The sequence below is a fragment of the Homo sapiens genome, chromosome 10 (genome assembly GCF_000001405.40).
Source record: "Homo sapiens chromosome 10, GRCh38.p14 Primary Assembly".
Taxonomy (NCBI): domain Eukaryota; kingdom Metazoa; phylum Chordata; class Mammalia; order Primates; family Hominidae; genus Homo; species Homo sapiens.
Window position 1 is genome coordinate 79,321,994 of NC_000010.11, and position 17,243 is coordinate 79,339,236.

Consider the following 17,243-nt stretch of genomic DNA (forward strand, 5'->3'; position numbering starts at 1 on the left):
AGCAGTACCTTTAGTGAATAAATCAACTTCACCTGGCTGCAAAAAAAGTATTTCTCTGCTCAACAAAACAGAACCAAAAGCTGCTGCTGAGTGCTAATGATGCAAGGGCACAAGTATGGGCAGGTAGCTGAGAGAAGCAGAGAGTGTGACAACTAGAGAGCACTGATTGTGACCAAGGGGCATCTGCTTCTCTGGGTGTTTGTTGCCAGGTGAGAATGCAGACCCAGCTGTTGCTAGACTTCTGATTTTCCAAGAGAATCTAGAAATGCAGGTTTTTAAAAAAAGTTGCAAATAAGCAAACAAAAATGTGTACAGACACCTATGGCCTAAATAAAGTCCAGGTGTGAGCTGCATCTGCCTCAGTGGTCCCCAGTCCCTGACCTCTGACCCAGGGCCAAATGCTGGTTTAAGTGGCGGGACTGAAATGCAGCCCAGCCCCGTGAGACTCTGGAGCTTAACCACCAAGTTCTATACCTCTAGATTAGCTGGAGAGACCAGTCCCTGCCTAAAGCAGAAATACCCATGGTCTGCAGATCCCAAGACCGGACCCATCTGCCACCATCCCCAGCCCTGAACATGCTGTCTTTGGCCACCATAACACACTACCCTGTTCTCATGCCCATATCTTTGCCAATGTCTGCCCCTCCTCCTGGAATGCCACTCTAGACTTTTGGGAATGCCTGTGCACCCTTATCCTCCTTCCCTGGAAACTGCCATCTGCCGCTGCAGAAGGGCAGACATGTTTGACCCACATGACCAAACCCCCCTTGACCCCAGCCCATTAGACCAGGAGGGACACGTGTCGCGAAGGACTAGCTGGCCAGTGACCAATCATGTTACCCCTGCCCCAGTCAAGAATCTGACCTGAGGCACAAAGATTGCAGGTGCCATTGTGGCCCCGGCTGGATCTAAGGCCTGACCTGCCTCTTCCCCTGCTCTCAGTGGATCTCTGTTACTAGGCTCAGTCTTTGCCTTTGACTTTTTCCCTCCCCTCCAGGCTGCATGATTTCCCTTTTTCTTTTTATGACTTTGCTTATATCAAAAGTTAAGTCTTATGTCAACCTTGTCATGAGAACAAAAGAAGCTTTCTAGCTTTTAACTAAAAGGATGTCAGTTAACAACGGAAATATATGTCAAACAGAAACAGGGTCTCAGCTTTGTGGTCTTGGGAACCCTCTCTTCCTATTACTACTGCTTATTATCCAGGACCTGGCGTCTTCCCTTTGTCACCCAGGGCCCGGTGTCTTCCCCTCACCACCCGGCACCTAGTAGTCTTCCCTGGAGCTAGTGTCTTCCCTGAGAGGCAAGACAGACCAGCCCAGCCAGAGTGCTGCTGGTAACATCACAGAGACGGCAGGCCCCATCTTTGGCAGCTCCCCAGACTCTCTGTGGTTTGGTTTTGTAGCCTGACACTCGAGGTGGCTCACAACTTCCTTCTGGAGTGAACATTTAACATCCTGCCTGCCCGTCACCCCTCCCTTCTTCAGGGAACCGTACTCGCTTTCTTCTGAGCATCACTCTGCGCCTCTTACTGCCCCTCTCTGATATGTGAGCCAGGCCATGCTGCTGTAATAAACACCAAACTATCAGTGGCTCAAGACAATGCCCATGTCACAGCCCAATGTGGGTGCCCCTGGTTGGACGCTGTCTATGTGGTCATTCACTAACCCAGGTCCTTCTCATCTGGTAGCTCTGCTCTCCTTAAAATTTTCTGCATTCAGCTGGCAGATGAGGAAAACCAAAGGAGTATCCCATAGAGAGTAAGTTTATGGGCCAGGCCCACATTTATTGGCTAGAGTTCAATCTCATGACTGTGATTGACCTACAATTTCAGTTAGCTACACCTAACTACAAAGGTAGCAGGGAGGGTCTTCAGAGAGAAGGCAAAGATCCAGGGAAAGGCACTTCAGCTATGTGCCTAGACAGGAGACAGAGTCCTAGGGAAGGATTCTGTTTGTTCCAGCTGGGTTCTGTGTCCATTCCCTGGCCTGGTCATTTTGAACTGGAAGGCAGAGTTGTTATCAGCTCCCATGGATTCAAATGAACATTTAGACAGTGTATCAGTTAGGTTTTGCGGCAGAACAAACAGCTATTTATTATTAATGGCCTAAAACAACCATTCATTTTTGCCTCTGAGACTGTGGGTTGAGTGAGAAGTTCTGTCGACTGGGCCAGGCTCATATGATCTCAGTTGGGCTCACTCACGTGTCTGAGGCCAGCAGGCAGGCTAGTTTAGAATGGCCTCACTCGCATATTTGGTAGCTGGCTTGCAGTTAACTGGAGTGAGGCTCCCTGGGCTTGTTCAAATGGTCGCCTCAGGATTGTACAGCATCACTTCAGCCTCATTTCATTGGTCAAAACAAGTCCCAAGACGAGCCGAGATTCAAGGCCTGGGAAAACAGACTTCTCCTCTTGATAGGGACAGCTACAACATCACATTGCAAGTTGCCGTGAATAACGGAAAGAAAATTGCAGGGTAGACAATTGCAACCTACCACAGCCAGTCTCTGCCACATAATCCCCTGGGAGCCAACACAGCCCTGCCTGCCAGTCCACAGTGACTGGTCTGCGGATGCAGGCACCAATCAGAATCCTTCCCTAGCATTTTCCATCCTGGTGCTAGCATATCCCAGTCACACCTGTGTCTTCCTCAGTTACATGAGCCAGTGAATCCCCTTTCACAGAGACCCACATTTGACTTGGGTCTCTACCGGGCACTGCTTAAGCCTCTGGAGAAACATCTGACAAATGCAACCCCTTACTGTTTGGTTGACCCACGCCTAAGGTGCACTTGATGCACCGATGGACGCAGGATGGATTCACGAAAGGGCTGTGAGAGAGATGTGGACATGAACAGGGCTAGTGGCAATTGGCCCTTCTCCCAGCCAGGCCATGTTACTCCAAGGAGAGGCGTGAGTTGCCTGGTGTCCACCTGGGGACTCAGAGACTCCAGGGTCAAACTGAGTATGGTCAGGGACTGGGACCACATCACCCATCCCAGGGATGATGGTGATGGGGACCCAGAATCCTGAGCACTTTGGGGGCCCCTGACCCCCTAGAATGCATGCTCAGAAGATTCCACTGTGGCTGGACAGAGTGAGACTACCAGTGTAATTGTCAGTCAGGGAGGTTTGGGTGCCAGCAACAGAAGCTTATTTTGATCACCTTAAGGGAAGGAGAAAGGGTATTTGTTGGTAGGATGTGAGTGAGTGGAAAGGTGGAGGGAAGAATGGAAAATACGCTCAGAACAGACAGGAGCCTGCCCTAGACAGGCTTGTCAGCAGGAACTGGTGGCCTTATCTGGCACTGATATAGGAAAGAACGGACTAATTCCACCTTTTCCCCCCTGTCTAGGTGTCACCTCCTGCCAGAGAGCATCTGGTTGGTCAAGCTGAGGTCATAGACACACTGCCCCCACCGCACAGACCTTTTCTTCACTAATGGTAAGAGAAAAGGGTCTGCTGGAAGGTGCCTCAGGGGCCCCTTTAGTTTATTCCAGGGATTAGCAAACTAATTGGGGTCCAAATCCAGCCAGGCTCCTGTTCTTATGCCCCTGATCTAAGAATCGATTTTATATTTTTAAGTGATTACATTTTAAATGATTGTATAAGTACCTACATCACAGCCTCAATTTTGTCTCTTGGTCCACAAAACCTAAAGTATTAACTATCTGGCCCTTCAAGAAAAAGTGTATAGACCCCTGGCTTATACAGTAGGGCTCAGTCACCTGGGTACATTGATCCAGGAAGACAGGAAGGGCAGCCAGACATGGTGAAGACCATGTGAGTCTGTGTGTGTGTGTGTGTGTGTGTGTGTGTGTGTGTGTGTCTGTGTGTGTCTCCATGTGCGTATCTGTGTGTCTGTGTGTATGTTTCTGTATGTGTGTCTGTGTCTCTATGTGTGTCTGTGTGTGTCAGCAGGGCTCCCTGTGTGTGTCTCTGTGTGTGTGTATGTGTCTCTGTATGTGTGTCTGTGTGTGTCTCCGTGTGTGTCTGTGTGTGTATGTGTGTGTCTGTGTGTCTCTGTATCTATGTGTGTCTGTGTGTATCTGTGTGTCTGTGTGTGTCTGTGAGTGTCTGTGTGTATCTGTGTTTTTGTATGTGGGTCTGTGGGTGTGTCTCTGTGTGTCTGTGTTTCTGTATCTGTGTGTCTGTGTATGTGTCTCTGTGTGTGTCTGTGAGTCTCTGTGGGTGTATCTTTATGTGTCTGTGTGTGTGTTTGTATTTATATGTCTGCGTGTATCTGTTTCTTTGTCTGTGTCTCTGCATGTGTCTCTGTGTGTGTCTGCTTCTCTGTGTGTGTGTCTGTGTATGTGTGTCTGTGTCTCCATGTGTATCTGTGTGTCTCTGTGTGTCTCTATGTGTGTGTCTGTGTGTCCGTGTGTGTGTCTGTGTATACATGTGTGTGTGTCTGTGTTTTCTGTGTGTGTCTGTGTGTCTGTCTCTCTGTGTGTGTCTGTTTCTGTGTGTCTGTGTGTCCATGTGTTTGTGTGTCTGTGCGTGTGTGTCTCTCTGTGTGTCTGTGTGTTTCTGTATCTGTGTGTCTGTGTGTGTTTCTGTGTGTGTCATCAGGGCTCCCTGTGTGTGTCTCTGTGTGTATGTCTCTATGCGTGTCTGTGTGTCTCTATGTGTGTGTCTGTGTGACCTTGTGTGTGTGCATATATGTGTGTGTCTGTGTTTTCTGTGTGTGTCTGTGTATCTGCCTGTGTGCTTTGTTTCTGTATCTGTGTGGTGTTTCTGTGTGTGTCTGTGTGTGTCTGTGTGTCCATGTGTTTGTGTGTCTGTGCATGTGTGTCTCTCTGTGTGTCTATGTGTTTCTGTATCTGTGTGTGTGTGTGTGTGTGTGTCTGTGTATGTGGGTGTCTGTGTGTGTGTGTGTGTCTTCAAACTGAGATGTCTCCCCACCAGCTCTTTCATCTAGGAAGAAACCCAGGAATTAAGGTGACATGATTTGGACAGGATGCTCTTCATTGTTGTTGTCAGGTTAATGGAAGCAATGCTTTGCAGTGCAATTCAGAGCAGGAAGGAGTATGAGCTTTGTAAATGCAGAAAATCAGGGTTACTGTCAGGAAAAGGGTCATGTTGATGTGAAATGGAGAATGTGAATGTTTCTTATAGATCTGGTCACCTTCATCCACCATGTGGGAGGTCCCAATCTCTGAAACTGCCACGTAGAAAGATCTCATGGAGTGACCACATGCAAAGTGAGAGATGCTCAGTGAGCCCTGCTAGCTGAGTCTTTCGAGCCTGGGCCCCAGACCTGTGAGTGAAGACGCCTTCAAGATGAACCCAGCCCAGCCACCATCTGGCCAAGGCTGTGTGCCACCTCAAGGAGGAACCGCATAGCTGAGTCCAGTCAAGCTCTAGATCCCTGAGCAGAATCCGTGATTGTCATGGTTTAAAGCTGCTGTTCTGGGCAAGCTCGCCGTGCAACAATAGAACCCAAATCGCCACCTTGGAGGGAATTCATCTCTGCTGTGCAGGATGTGCTGGATCTGCAGACATTTGCCAAGAGCACAAGTTTGGGGAACGGAGGGATGGGGGTAAACCCTCTCCATCCTCTCCTGGGAACCCCGAGGACCATCCAAACAGGATGCCTGGGCTCAATGATAGTGCAAGGACCCAGAAGGGCCCAGGCTTTCATCATGGCTTCAGGGAATGGTGGGGTGTCCCAGGGAAGGGGAGAAAGAGATGGACTGTGGGAAGAGATGGAAGCTGTGGGAGGGAACTATGGGGAGCTTCCCAGGGGCGTGAAGAGGACCCCTCCTCCACATCCACTAGACAGAGGACACATCCCTGCTGTTTGTGAGGAGAGCATTCTGGTGCTAGGCTGGGCACCTTGCCTAATTCCTCCTAGTCCCAAAGTCTCTGAGACTTCAAAACCATCACCCAAGGCTGGGCATGGTGGCTCATACCTGTAATCCCAGCACTTTGGGAGGTTGAGGTGGGAGGATGGCTTGAGCCCAAGAGTTTAAGACCAGCCTGGGCAATATAGTGAGACCCTGTCTCTACAAAATATTAAAAAAAAAAAAAACTGGGCATGGTGGCACAGATCTGTAGTCCCAGCTACTCAGGAAGCTGCGCTGGGAGGATTGCTTGAGCCCAGGACATTGAGGCTGCAGTGAGCCATCATTGTGCTACTGCACTCCAGCCTGGGAGACAGAGCAAGACCCTGTCTCAAAACCAAACAAAAAACTATCACCCAACCCCACCCTGGGGAAAGGCAGGAGTGGGTCTGGAACTATAAGCTGAGGAGAGGTTCCGCTGGGTCCAGAAAGGAGGCAGCTTCTCCCTTGCCATGGCCTCTGAGCTGAGCAGGGCACCTGCCCCCAGCAGCGTGCAGATGGACAAACAAGAACACATCTGCGAACCTCTTGACTCCAGGAGCAGAAGGGGGCTGGAAGGAGAACTCCTGTCCCGGGTTCAATCTGGAGGGCCTAGGGCTTGGCGCTGCTGGAAGCAGGAAGAGCACCAGCAGCCACTGGAGCAACTTGGGTAATGGGGGCTCCCTCCCCTCCGGCCATTACCAGGAGCTGGAGACAGGAACAGGAACCCCAGGTGGGCCATCTCACCAGCCCTCAGGGGCTTCATAAAGAAAGAAGCTGGAAAGGCCCAAGGATGCAGGCCCCAGAAGCCCCATGCTGCCTGCTGAAGATCAGCCCCCACCTCTGCTGCTGCCACAGTAGACCAGAAGGAGCAAGTGCAAAGAGGAGCCAGGTGTGTGTCAAGGCCTTGGAGGAAAGTGTCACCTCAAGGGGTGCTTTGAGCCACCTTCACCCCATGAGCACTAATCATACCATTAAGGAGGCCTTGCAGGTCCCCCTCCCATACTTCCCATGTGAACTGCACACCTCCTGAGAGAGGGAGCCCCGAGAATGACTTCATGCTCATGTGCTGGTGACTCACCTGAGCTGGGCTGAGGGCAGGGAAGAGGCTCGGGAGACACGCTGCTGCTCCTTGACCATCCTGCCACATGCTGCCCAGCCCGAGTGATGGAAACTAAGGCAACGCCCTGAGATGTGGCCCACAGGGCCATGTGGTTCCTGCTGGGCCTGGAATCACTTCCTGGTATGGTGACACCAATCCTTGGCCCTCAGAGCTGGCCAGGCCACAAGGAGCCTGCCCAGGGCAGGGAGTAAGAGAAGCCAATTGCCATGCTTCTGTAGCCATGTGGTCTCATGCACTCTCAGGGCCTCATTGCCTCACCTGGGCAGTGGGCATCCTGCCTTCACATCTCCTCTCCACAATCCCCGCTTGCTGAACAGAGCGGGTGAGCGAGCAGATGAGACCAGGGCTGTGAGAGGGCTCTGTGGACTGTGGGGGATGCCGCACACAGAGGACGCACTATCCTTGCTCTGATGCCCAGGAGAGGTAGGCCTGGCCCTTACCCTCATGAAGTCCCAGCCTTGTCCGGGAGACCCACTGTGGACTTGTGAAAGTGCAGATGGGTTCGTGTTGAAACGGAAGTGCCTACAAAGCACTGTGGAAATGTGGAGAAGGACGGCAGGCAGGGACTGGGGCACGTCAGGTTGACTAAGTGCTCAATTATTATCTGTTCCTGCACGCCACGAGGGATTTAGTCTGTTTTGTTTGCTGCTGCGTCCCTAGTGCCTGGAATAGAGCCTGGCATACAGCAGGTGCCTAAATAATTGCTTGTTGCATGAATGAATGGATGAATGAATGAGAGAGGGAAGGGAAGGCTGTCAGGTGAGCTGAACCATAAAGGGTGAGTCAGAGGTGAGGTGGAACCGACAGTCCAGGACGCAGGAACAGGACGTGCAGGCACTCAGAGGCCCACGGCAGAGAGTGCATCTGGAAGTGGCGGTTTCCATGGGGCCTGCAGGAGAGGAAGACGATGTGGGGGAATCTGGGTTTGGGAATCTGGGTCTTTACTCTGAGGACAGTAGGGAGCTATAAGGGGTAGCCTGCTAATTGGATGTGGTGGGTTTGGTTTTTCAGATAGCTTTTTCAGGTAGTGTCTAATTCAATGGCTTTTAGTATACTCACAGACTTGTGAACCACCACGATAAATGTTAGAACACTTATATCACCCCAAATAGAGATCCCACACCCACTGGCTATCACCCTCCAACCTCCCATCTCCTCAGCCCTAGAAAAGCACCAATATATTTTCTGTCTGTATAAATTTGCCTACTTTGGACATTTTATATTAATGGAATCATACACAAGGTGGACTTTTGTGATGAGCTTCTTTCACCAGGTGTAACATTTTCAGTGTTCATTCCTGTTGTATATCAGTATCTCATTTCTTTTTATTACCAACTAGTATTCCATTGTGTGGATTTACCGCCTTTTGTCTGTCCGTTTGCCAGCCGATGGACATTTGGGATGTTTAGAAGTGGTTTTTAAAAAGATCCTCGGATGGTTAAAATTAACAAGACTAAAAATACCAAGTGCTGGTGTGGACGTGGAACAACCGGACCTCTCATATATTAGTGCTGGGCGTCTATAATGGTATGACCACTTTGGAAAAGTTTGTCAATTTCTTATAAAGATAAACATATATTTACTGTATATCCCAGCGATTTAACTTACAGGAATTTACCCAAGAGAAATGAAGACATATCCACACAAAAACACGTACACAAGTGGTCAGGGCAGCATTATCCATAACAGTAAAAATCTGGAAACAGTCTAGTTGTCCATCAACATGAGAATGAATAAACAAATTGAGTCATGTTTATAAAATGGAAACTTATCCAACAATAAAAGTCACAAAAGATGGATGAAGACGAAAAGCACAGTGGGTGAAAGAATCCAGACATAAAGGAGCATTAATGTATAATTACTAAAAAATTCTATTTTATGTGAAGCTTAAGAACCCACAAAGCTCATTTCTGGGGGGTAGAAGTCAGCACAGAGGGTTTTTTGGGTGTAGGCTGGGTGACTGGAGGCAGGGGTAGAGAAAACTTTCCAAGGTAATTGAAGTATTCTATGCCTTGACATGACTGGGTATTGGTCGCACAGGAGTATGCATTTATCAAAACTCTTTAAACTTCATTCTTAAGATCCATGCATTGTATTGAATGTCAATTATGCCTGAATAAAGGAGGGGGAAAATGTTCCACCTGGAAGAATGAAGGAGACTGGACTTTGGGGCTAGGATTGGAGGGCAGGGAGGGGCCTACTGCAGTCTCTAAGGTAGGGGGCCGCAGAATGGGGAGGAAGGATGGACCCGAGGGATGCCAAGGAGGTATAGAGGAAAGGGTGGATGCCTGATTGGCAGGAGTGGGGTCAGTGGGAGAGAGAGGGGGCAAGGGTGACTCAGGTTCCTCTCTTGGCACCTGTGATGGGTTAGTCCTCAGCCTGGTCCAGCTCCATCCCGTGGGCTTCCTGGCTGAGTGAAGCCAGGCCCCGGCTGACTCACTTCTGACCATGAGGTGTGCCCTGCCCTGGTCAGCCGGCCTCACAGGCTCACCTGTGTCAGCCTCCTGTGATGCTCCCTGACTCGCGGGAGGAGAAGCCCAGATGACTTGGGCTTTGTGCAGTCAGCTGACAGAGCCCTCTAGCTCTCCAGATGTGCTTGGCAAGCCAGTTGGGCTCATGGGTGGCTTGGGGTGCCCAGGGAACCTTCAGAACCTGCATTGAGAATGGCCTTGGAAGTGTAGCACAATCTTTCTGTATTACAGAGGAGAAGACTGAGGCCCAGGAGGGCAGGAAGTAGCTCCAGGTCCCCCTCTTCCCACCTCCTCCCTATTCCCCTCTGATTTCAGCTCTGCAGCTGGTACAGTGGCCCACACTGGAGACAGAGGAGGGGCAGTGGTGGGAAGCCCCCAGGAGTCATGACCCCTCAGAGTACAGCACACTAGGGTGCGGAGGCATAGACACCCTTGGCCAGCGCTCTCTGAGTGCCTCAGCAGCTCAAGTGTGCGGTGGCCTTGGGAAGAGCTGGTGGGAAAGTCCCAGGCATGTGTCATCCTGTTGTCATCTATCCCACCCCGGGGACTTCCCCATATGAGCATCTTCTCCTCGTCATCTAGCCCAGCCCCCTTGCCTCAGACAAGGACTTCTCAATTCCCGTGAGATGTATTATGCTGTGTTCTGAGAACCAAGCCTCTTGGAAGGGGAGGAGAGATAATGCACCTTCTGGGCTCTGCTTCCACGCCAGCACACTGAACTCTTCTGGAATAAAGGAATTGTGTTTGTGTTTTAAAAATGCTTTATTGAAGTATAACAAAAATATAATGAGTACACAGATCATCAATGTAGAGTTTGGTAAATATACACATATGTACACCATGCAGATCAAGATTTAGAACACTTCCAGGACTCCAGAAGGCTGGCTCCCTTGTACCCACTTCCAGTGACCCCCTCCCCCAAAGTAGCCCCTATTCTGACTTATCTCACCATAGATTAGTTTCACCTACTCTTGTACTTTCCATAATCATATAGCATATCCTCAAGATTTTTGTAGCCTCTAGTCCCAGCTACTTGGGAGGCTGAGGTGGGAGGGTCGCTTGAGCCCATGAGATGGAGGCTGCAGTGAGCTGTGTTTACACCACTGTACTACATCCTGGATGACAGAATGAGACCTTGTCTCAAGGGAACAAAAAAGGACTCAAATTAAAAATTTTTAAAAATTAGTGTGCCACAGATGCCGAGGTCTTCGGCCATGCCAATTGTCACTTGAGCTTCTAAACTGTCCCCATTAGAGTCAGGGCTCATCCTCTGAAGGGGCCGTGCTTCCAATCTTCCCTGGTGCAGTGATTTTAAAACATGCAATTTCTTTTCCACCCCTGGCATTAAGAGGTGGAGTCTTATTCCTCTTCCCTTGAATATGGGCTGGCCTCTGTGACTCACTTCTAACCAGCAGCATGTGGCAGAAGTAAGGCCATGTGTCTCCCGGCAGTAGGTCATGAAAGCAACACAGCTACTGCCCGGGTCTTGCTCCTGGGCTCTAGTTCTTGATACCCAGCTCCCACACCATGAGGAAGCCCAGGCCACATGGAGAGGACACAGCCTGTGTTCCAGCCGACTGCCCGGCCGAGGTCTCAGCTGCCAGACACATGAGTGAGATTCATCCATGTTGCTGCCTGCATCAGTAGCTGTTCTTTTTTATTGCTGAGTAGTATTCCACTGTATGGATGTACCACAATGCATGTATTCACCCTACTGTTCATGGGCACTTCGGTTGTTTCCAGTTTGAGGCACCTATGAACATTCACTTGAAGTATTTGTGTGGACATACATACTCATTTCTCTTTTTTAAATTTAAAATTTGTTTTTTTTGAGACAGAGTCTCTCTTTGTTGCCCAGGCTGGAGTGCAGTGGTGCAATCTAGGCTCACTGCAAGCTCCGCCTCCTGGGTTCACGCCATTCTCCTGCCTCAGCCTCCTGAGTAGCTGGGACTACAGGTGCCTGCCACCACGCCCAGCTAATTTTTCGTATTTTTAGTACAGACAGGGTTTCACCGTGTTAGCCAGGATTGTCTCAATCTCCTGACCTCATGATCTGCCCGCCTCGGCCTCCCAGAGTTCTGGGATTACAGGTGTGAGCCACCACACCCAGCCTTTAATTTTAATTTAAAAAAAAGTAGAGATGAGGTCTCATTATGTTGCCCAGGCTGGTCTCACACTCCTGAGCTCAAGTGATACTCGTTTCTCAGTCTCCCAAAGTGCTAGGATCACAGGGATGAGCCACCATGACTGGCCCTCATTTCTTTTAAATATATGCCTAGGAGTGGAATTTCTGAGTCATAGGTAAGCATATTTTTAGCTTTAGTAGATAACTGCCAAACAGTTTTCTAAAGTTATTGTACCAACTGACACTCCCACTAACAATGTATGGAAGTTCCAGCTATGCCACATCCTCAGCAACCCTTTTTAATTTTAGCCATTTTAGTGGGTATATAATAGTATCCCATTGGGGCTTTAATTCGCTTTGTCCTGATGACCCTAAAGATGCTGTCTGTCTACCTTCTCACATGATTATTGGTCATTTGGATACCTTTTTGTGTATATGTGAAATGCTTGCTCAAGTTTTTTGACCACTGTCTATTGGGCTGTTTACCATTTCTTATTGATGGATGTAAGTTCTCTATACGTAGTGAACATGAACTTTTGTCAGATGTATGTATTGTGACTATCTTGTCCTACTTTGTAGTTTTTTCCTTCCTTCCTTCCTTCCTTTCTCCCTTCCTTCCTTACTTCCTCCCTTCTTTCCTTCCTTCCTCCCTTCCGTCCCTCCTTCCTTTTCTTTCTTTTGATTCTCTGTTGCTCAGGCTGGAATGCAGTGGTATGATCCTAGCTCACTGCAACCTGGAACTCCTGGACACAAGCAATCCTCCAGCTTCAGCCTCCTAAGTAGCTAGGACTGTATACAGGCACATGCCACCATGTTCAGTTCAATTAAAAAAATTTTTTTTTTGTAGAGACAGAGCTGTGCTATGTTTCCCAGGCTGGGCTTGAACTCCTGGTTTCAGTGGATCCTCCTGCCTTGCCCTCCCAAAACACTAGGTTTACAAGCATGAGCCACTGCACCAGGCCTGTAGCTTCATTTCTTAATTCTGTTTCGTTAATGTTGTCTTTTGATGAATACAGGTTGCTAATGCTAATGAAGTCTAGGTTATCTGCCTTTTCTCTTATGTTTCATGCCTTTTGCAGCCTCTGTAAGAAATCTTTGAGAAGCCTGTTTTGTGCTGGCCAGGGTTATGCCAGCTTCCATTCTGTCCTTGCTCCAGTGTAGGAGTCAGTCCGTTATTTACTCTCCTGCCATCTGTCCATCAATTCACCTGCCCACCTATGCATCCACCCACCTACTCATCTCCCCATCCATACTCTATCACCATTCATACATTTACCCATCCATCCACCCACTGATCTACCAATATTTATTGCCATCACTGTGAGCTGAGTGATGACAGGTATTAAGAGACTGAGATGGTGGAGGAGCTACTGAGATGAACAAGACCTCCAAGGAGCTTATAATCTGATGGGAAAAGCACAATATACGCAAATCCTCGACAGATTTTTATCTACCCTCATGTTGTTCCGAAGTCTGTAGCTTTCATTCATTACTCTCCGGAACCTCCATCCATTTGTCCTTGTTCTGTGACACTCCTTCCAATATTTGGAGATTGTCTGATTTCCACAGGCCTGAGCTGCAAATAGAATACCCGACCTCCCTTGTTACAGAGACTTGGCCTTTATTGATGTGGCCTGAGATGGTTGCCAGCCCTGACCCATCAATGGCTTAAATTCTGCTTGTGAGCAGCCTGTATTCAGAGAAGTGTGACCCAGTGGGGGGACCACTTCTCCCAGGGCTGACTGACCAGCTGTGGGGGTTTGAAGGCTGGCTCTGTGGGACTGGCAGGTGGCCCAGTCTGGCAGCAGAGAGGCAGGCAGTGGGCCTCAGCAGGAGTTTCAACAGGCTGACGGAGTGGGCAGAGAGGAAAATGGGGGTGGGTATAAGCTGTCACACTAAAGGGTAGACTCCTTCCTGGCTTGAAAATAGGGTGGATTCTGGCTCTTTTTTGCCGGGTCTCAGGTCAAGCTGGGGCCTAGGGTCTTGAGGTGGGGCATGGGGATAGTGGCAGGGAGGTCAGTAGGCCTCTACTCCTCCTGAGAGGCCCCCATCTGGACTCTAGCCATGAACTGGGCTAAAGTACCGCAGCTCCCCAGCCCTAGCCTCTGCCTGCCTCTCTCACCTTGACCTCTTCCTAGGGGCAGTGGCTCAAAACCAACAAAAACAACAAAGATCCCGCCAGCCCTGTCCTCAACATAGCCAGGCCCTGGTCACTCCTCTGAGAACTGACTGCCCAGAACTCCCCAGCAGGCCTGGCTGTGGTCCCGCCTGGCAGCACCTGCCCTCTCGAGGACACTGACCCTTTGTTGGAGGAGATGGCTTGTGGGGACAGCCTTGAGGAGGGGCTGAGCTGAGCGGGTCAGGCTGGCGCCAGGCGAGACCAGGAGCCTCAGCACACAAGGCCTCCTATACAGTGGCCTAGCCGGGGCAAGACCGGGCCCTGAGCAACAGTCCAACTGCAGAGTCTGATGGGGCTGGAGCCGGGGTCAGGACCAGGGAGGGTGAGCAGGGCCTCTACACTGGACACGCAGAGTCCTTCCTCTCTCCCTCCCACCTCTCTCCCCTGAGCTTAGCCCCTCTCCCTACGGTGACCCTGCCAGCTCCAGCCCAGGGGAACCACACCCACACCTGCCAGGGGTGACTGGACCCACCTTTCTTGTCCCTCCACCAGACAGAGAACCTCAGAGTGGCCTCTCTGCTACCTCTTTCCTCTGAACTTAGGGGTAACAAAGGCACCCTGGCTGGAAGTCAGCCCTTCCTGGCCTCAGTGCCTGAGCTGACCAGAGGCAGGTCTGGGCCTAAAGGAGGTCATTTCTGGCCTTGCTCTGTGGCAGCCTAACACTAAGTGTTTTCCCTGTGGCATCTCATTGGACCACACAGCAATCTCTGGAGGAGGTACCGATATTAGCAGCATAAATCAGTGGGGAGCCCAGGTGTGAGCCCAGACTGTCTGATCCCTGGATAGTCCGCACAGCATGGGGAGGTGTGGGGGGAAGAGGGAACTTGTTCCTCCTCCTGACGGAGATGGGGAATGGCTGGTGGATCTCACAGGGGGGTGTGCATTTTAGAGCCATGACTCTAGACACAGAATTTGGGCAGAGGGCTGTGCCCAGAGGTGGAGAGATGAGAGAGAAGGCTGTGTGACAGTCTGGGTAGCAGCCACAGGAGCAGCACAGGGGTCTCCCTTTAGGAAAGAATTTGCTGCTCAGCTGCAAAGAGTGCAGACCCTGCAGGAGTGGCCTCAGCCATCAAGAAGAGACCATGCTCTTCTGGGCAGCCCCAGTAAATACTGAGCGCAGCAGGCCTGGCCATTTGAGCTCAGTGGGGATGCCTTTTATGGCCACCTGTGCTCAAGAACTCCTGCTGGGTTGGCCCAGGACTGGGAAGATCTGTGTCGCTGTCTGAGGCTGTTCCTGCCCAGCCCTGCTTCCCCACTGGTCTTCCACAGGCAAGACGCCCCTGTAAAACCACGTGGGCTCTCAGCTATGTCTCAGCCCGTGCTTCCTGCAGGACCCAGGACAGAACTTCAGCTACTGCAGCGGCAGAAGGGAGGGATGGGAAGGAAACTTCACCTCTGTGCTACCGCCCACTAATGGCATAAGCTCACTCAACCTCTGGGTGCCTCAGTTTCCTTGTAAAATAAAGTTAATTATCTCTGGATAATAATCTCCTCCTCATGGAATTACTATGGGGACTCAATGATTGAATGAATGTGGAGAGCTCAGCACAGTACTTAGGTTACTTAATGTACACAGTTATTGAGACTTTTGGCTGCACTTGTAATGAATAGCTTGACAGGTTTCTCTTTGCTTTACTGTAAGCTCCTTGAGGACAGGGACCAGGCAGGTCCATTTAGCACAAAGCTTGACACCAGTGGGTGCTCCATAAAGGTTTGCTAGAGGAATGAATGGATAGGAGTAAATTAGATGGGGGGTTGTGCACAGTGGCTCACGCCTGTAATCCCAGCACTTCAGGAGACTGAGGCAGGAGGACTGCTTAAGGCCAGGAGTCCAAGACCGACCTGAGCAACATAAGGAGACCTCATCTCAAAAAAAAAAAAAAAAAAAAAATTACATAGGGATGCACCAGCCAAATATGACAAGATGACACCCAGTTTGTACTGGGATGCCTGGGTGGGTGGTCATGCCGTTATCTGACATGGGTGTCTAGAAGGAGAGGTGAGGTGGGGTGGGGATGGATAATGACTTCCCACAGGGCTATGGTGTTTGGGGGGTTCTGTAGACCTACCACATGAACAGAGCCCAGGCTGAAGGAGGTGCCTGACCAGGGCTCCTGTCAAACGCCATCAGGAATCCACTGCATGCCCTCAACAGGAGTTCTGGTTATCTCTAGCTGTGTAACAAATCACCCCAGACCTAGTGGTGTGAAACAACCTCACTCTATCATCCTTTCTCGCAGTTCTTAGCACTGACTGGGCTCAGCTGGGCGGTTCTCACTCAGGGCTCTCGGGTGGCTGCAGTCTGATGGTAGTTGGGTCTGGAGTCCTCTCAAGGCCTCCTCACTCATGTGTCTGGCAGCTGAGACCTCGGCCGGGCAGTCGGCTGGAACACAGGCTGTGTCCTCTCCATGTGGCCTGGGCTTCCTCATGGTGTGGGAGCTGGGTATCAAGAACTAGAGCCCAGGAGCAAGACCCGGGCAGTAGCTGTGTTGCTTTCATGACCTACTGCCGGGAGACACATGGCCTTACTTCTGCCACATGCTGCTGGTTAGAAGTGAGTCACAGAGGCCAGCCCATATTCAAGGGAAGAGGAATAAGACTCCACCTCTTAATGCCAGGGGTGGAAAAGAAATTGCATGTTTTAAAATCACTGCACCAGGGAAGATTGGAAGCACGGCCCCTTCAGAGGATGAGCCCTGACTCTAATGGGGACAGTTTAGAAGCTCAAGTGACAATTGGCATGGCCGAAGACCTCGGCATCTGTGGCACACTAATTTTTAAAAATTTTTAATTTGAGTCCTTTTTTGTTCCCTTGAGACAAGGTCTCATTCTGTCATCCAGGATGTAGTACAGTGGTGTAAACACAGCTCACTGCAGCCTCCATCTCATGGGCTCAAGCGACCCTCCCACCTCAGCCTCCCAAGTAGCTGGGACTAGAGGCGTGAACCACCCCCAACTAAGTTTTTCATTTTTTTGTAGAGATGAGGCCTTGCTGTGTTGCCCAGGCTGGTCTTGAATTCCTGGTCTCAAGTAATCCTCCCGCCTCAGCATTCCACAGTGCTGGGATTACAGGTGTGAACCACCCATGTCTAGCCATAGTTGAGTCTTAATAGTAGCTGCTCCATGAAGAAGTGTGAGTGAATTCATGAGTAAGGGAGAGTGACCAGGGCCTGGACAGAGTCCAGCTCTCAAACTTGGACTTTGCCTGGTCCCCTCAGCCTTCTGTGTCTGGACTCTGCCCATTCAGGGTCTAGGATGGAGACCTGTCTTGCTTTTTCCAGAATTTGACCCTGTCCTCTGTCCCAGGCTTGGGGTCCTACTATTGGAAACCCTATATGGATGACCACTGCCTGCCTACTGGCCACCAGTAAAGACTTCATGAGTAAGGGAGAGTGACAGGTCTGTACCACCATGCCTGCCTAATTTAAAAAAATTTTTAATTTGTGTAGAGATAGGGTCTCACTATGTTGCCCAGGCTGGTCTCAAACCTCTGGGCTCAAGCGATCCTCCTGCCTCAGCCT

The 17,243-nt window shown here is 50.3% G+C and overlaps 20 annotated features.

The window, feature by feature from the left end:
• Positions 754 to 1,666: a transcriptional cis regulatory region, noted in NCBI's record as "chr10:81082504-81083416 region (GRCh37/hg19 assembly coordinates) targeted for CRISPR interference". NCBI's record gives its function as "positively regulates PPIF gene expression in GM12878 lymphoblastoid cells {active_cell/tissue: GM12878}" and the evidence as "EXISTENCE:mutant phenotype evidence [ECO:0000015][PMID:33828297]".
• Positions 754 to 1,670: a biological region, named in NCBI's record as "CRISPRi-FlowFISH-validated PPIF regulatory elements GRCh37_chr10:81082504-81083416 to GRCh37_chr10:81082920-81083420". NCBI's record gives its function as "regulatory_interactions: PPIF".
• Positions 1,120 to 1,620: a transcriptional cis regulatory region, noted in NCBI's record as "chr10:81082870-81083370 region (GRCh37/hg19 assembly coordinates) targeted for CRISPR interference". NCBI's record gives its function as "positively regulates PPIF gene expression in Jurkat T cells {active_cell/tissue: Jurkat}" and the evidence as "EXISTENCE:mutant phenotype evidence [ECO:0000015][PMID:33828297]".
• Positions 1,127 to 1,627: a transcriptional cis regulatory region, noted in NCBI's record as "chr10:81082877-81083377 region (GRCh37/hg19 assembly coordinates) targeted for CRISPR interference". NCBI's record gives its function as "positively regulates PPIF gene expression in anti-CD3- and PMA-stimulated Jurkat T cells {active_cell/tissue: Jurkat(+anti-CD3 and PMA for 4hr)}" and the evidence as "EXISTENCE:mutant phenotype evidence [ECO:0000015][PMID:33828297]".
• Positions 1,147 to 1,647: a transcriptional cis regulatory region, noted in NCBI's record as "chr10:81082897-81083397 region (GRCh37/hg19 assembly coordinates) targeted for CRISPR interference". NCBI's record gives its function as "positively regulates PPIF gene expression in THP-1 monocytic cells {active_cell/tissue: THP-1}" and the evidence as "EXISTENCE:mutant phenotype evidence [ECO:0000015][PMID:33828297]".
• Positions 1,170 to 1,670: a transcriptional cis regulatory region, noted in NCBI's record as "chr10:81082920-81083420 region (GRCh37/hg19 assembly coordinates) targeted for CRISPR interference". NCBI's record gives its function as "positively regulates PPIF gene expression in LPS-stimulated THP-1 monocytic cells {active_cell/tissue: THP-1(+LPS for 4hr)}" and the evidence as "EXISTENCE:mutant phenotype evidence [ECO:0000015][PMID:33828297]".
• Positions 5,351 to 5,410: an enhancer, noted in NCBI's record as "active region_3643". NCBI's record gives its function as "activates an Ori minimal core promoter by ATAC-STARR-seq in GM12878 lymphoblastoid cells {active_cell/tissue: GM12878}" and the evidence as "EXISTENCE:reporter gene assay evidence [ECO:0000049][PMID:35858748]".
• Positions 6,622 to 7,122: a transcriptional cis regulatory region, noted in NCBI's record as "chr10:81088372-81088872 region (GRCh37/hg19 assembly coordinates) targeted for CRISPR interference". NCBI's record gives its function as "positively regulates PPIF gene expression in anti-CD40- and anti-IgM-stimulated BJAB lymphoma cells {active_cell/tissue: BJAB(+anti-IgM and anti-CD40 for 4hr)}" and the evidence as "EXISTENCE:mutant phenotype evidence [ECO:0000015][PMID:33828297]".
• Positions 6,622 to 7,332: a biological region, named in NCBI's record as "CRISPRi-FlowFISH-validated PPIF regulatory elements GRCh37_chr10:81088372-81088872 to GRCh37_chr10:81088582-81089082". NCBI's record gives its function as "regulatory_interactions: PPIF".
• Positions 6,656 to 7,156: a transcriptional cis regulatory region, noted in NCBI's record as "chr10:81088406-81088906 region (GRCh37/hg19 assembly coordinates) targeted for CRISPR interference". NCBI's record gives its function as "positively regulates PPIF gene expression in anti-CD3- and PMA-stimulated Jurkat T cells {active_cell/tissue: Jurkat(+anti-CD3 and PMA for 4hr)}" and the evidence as "EXISTENCE:mutant phenotype evidence [ECO:0000015][PMID:33828297]".
• Positions 6,832 to 7,332: a transcriptional cis regulatory region, noted in NCBI's record as "chr10:81088582-81089082 region (GRCh37/hg19 assembly coordinates) targeted for CRISPR interference". NCBI's record gives its function as "positively regulates PPIF gene expression in LPS-stimulated THP-1 monocytic cells {active_cell/tissue: THP-1(+LPS for 4hr)}" and the evidence as "EXISTENCE:mutant phenotype evidence [ECO:0000015][PMID:33828297]".
• Positions 9,118 to 9,618: an enhancer, noted in NCBI's record as "H3K4me1 hESC enhancer chr10:81090868-81091368 (GRCh37/hg19 assembly coordinates)". NCBI's record gives its function as "activates a minimal SCP1, AML or CMV promoter by ChIP-STARR-seq in primed H9 embryonic stem cells {active_cell/tissue: H9 hESC(primed)}" and the evidence as "EXISTENCE:reporter gene assay evidence [ECO:0000049][PMID:30033119]".
• Positions 9,118 to 10,492: a biological region, named in NCBI's record as "BRD4-independent group 4 enhancer GRCh37_chr10:81091043-81092242". NCBI's record gives its function as "regulatory_interactions: PPIF".
• Positions 9,293 to 10,492: an enhancer, noted in NCBI's record as "BRD4-independent group 4 enhancer chr10:81091043-81092242 (GRCh37/hg19 assembly coordinates)". NCBI's record gives its function as "activates an origin of replication core promoter dependent on BRD2, P300/CBP, MED14 and CDK7 cofactors, and independent of BRD4, by STARR-seq in HCT116 cells {active_cell/tissue: HCT116}" and the evidence as "EXISTENCE:reporter gene assay evidence [ECO:0000049][PMID:35650434]".
• Positions 9,492 to 9,751: an enhancer, noted in NCBI's record as "active region_3644". NCBI's record gives its function as "activates an Ori minimal core promoter by ATAC-STARR-seq in GM12878 lymphoblastoid cells {active_cell/tissue: GM12878}" and the evidence as "EXISTENCE:reporter gene assay evidence [ECO:0000049][PMID:35858748]".
• Positions 9,610 to 10,110: a transcriptional cis regulatory region, noted in NCBI's record as "chr10:81091360-81091860 region (GRCh37/hg19 assembly coordinates) targeted for CRISPR interference". NCBI's record gives its function as "positively regulates PPIF gene expression in anti-CD3- and PMA-stimulated Jurkat T cells {active_cell/tissue: Jurkat(+anti-CD3 and PMA for 4hr)}" and the evidence as "EXISTENCE:mutant phenotype evidence [ECO:0000015][PMID:33828297]".
• Positions 9,619 to 10,119: an enhancer, noted in NCBI's record as "H3K4me1 hESC enhancer chr10:81091369-81091869 (GRCh37/hg19 assembly coordinates)". NCBI's record gives its function as "activates a minimal SCP1, AML or CMV promoter by ChIP-STARR-seq in primed H9 embryonic stem cells {active_cell/tissue: H9 hESC(primed)}" and the evidence as "EXISTENCE:reporter gene assay evidence [ECO:0000049][PMID:30033119]".
• Positions 9,680 to 10,180: a transcriptional cis regulatory region, noted in NCBI's record as "chr10:81091430-81091930 region (GRCh37/hg19 assembly coordinates) targeted for CRISPR interference". NCBI's record gives its function as "positively regulates PPIF gene expression in LPS-stimulated THP-1 monocytic cells {active_cell/tissue: THP-1(+LPS for 4hr)}" and the evidence as "EXISTENCE:mutant phenotype evidence [ECO:0000015][PMID:33828297]".
• Positions 9,723 to 10,223: a transcriptional cis regulatory region, noted in NCBI's record as "chr10:81091473-81091973 region (GRCh37/hg19 assembly coordinates) targeted for CRISPR interference". NCBI's record gives its function as "positively regulates PPIF gene expression in GM12878 lymphoblastoid cells {active_cell/tissue: GM12878}" and the evidence as "EXISTENCE:mutant phenotype evidence [ECO:0000015][PMID:33828297]".
• Positions 9,792 to 10,071: an enhancer, noted in NCBI's record as "active region_3645". NCBI's record gives its function as "activates an Ori minimal core promoter by ATAC-STARR-seq in GM12878 lymphoblastoid cells {active_cell/tissue: GM12878}" and the evidence as "EXISTENCE:reporter gene assay evidence [ECO:0000049][PMID:35858748]".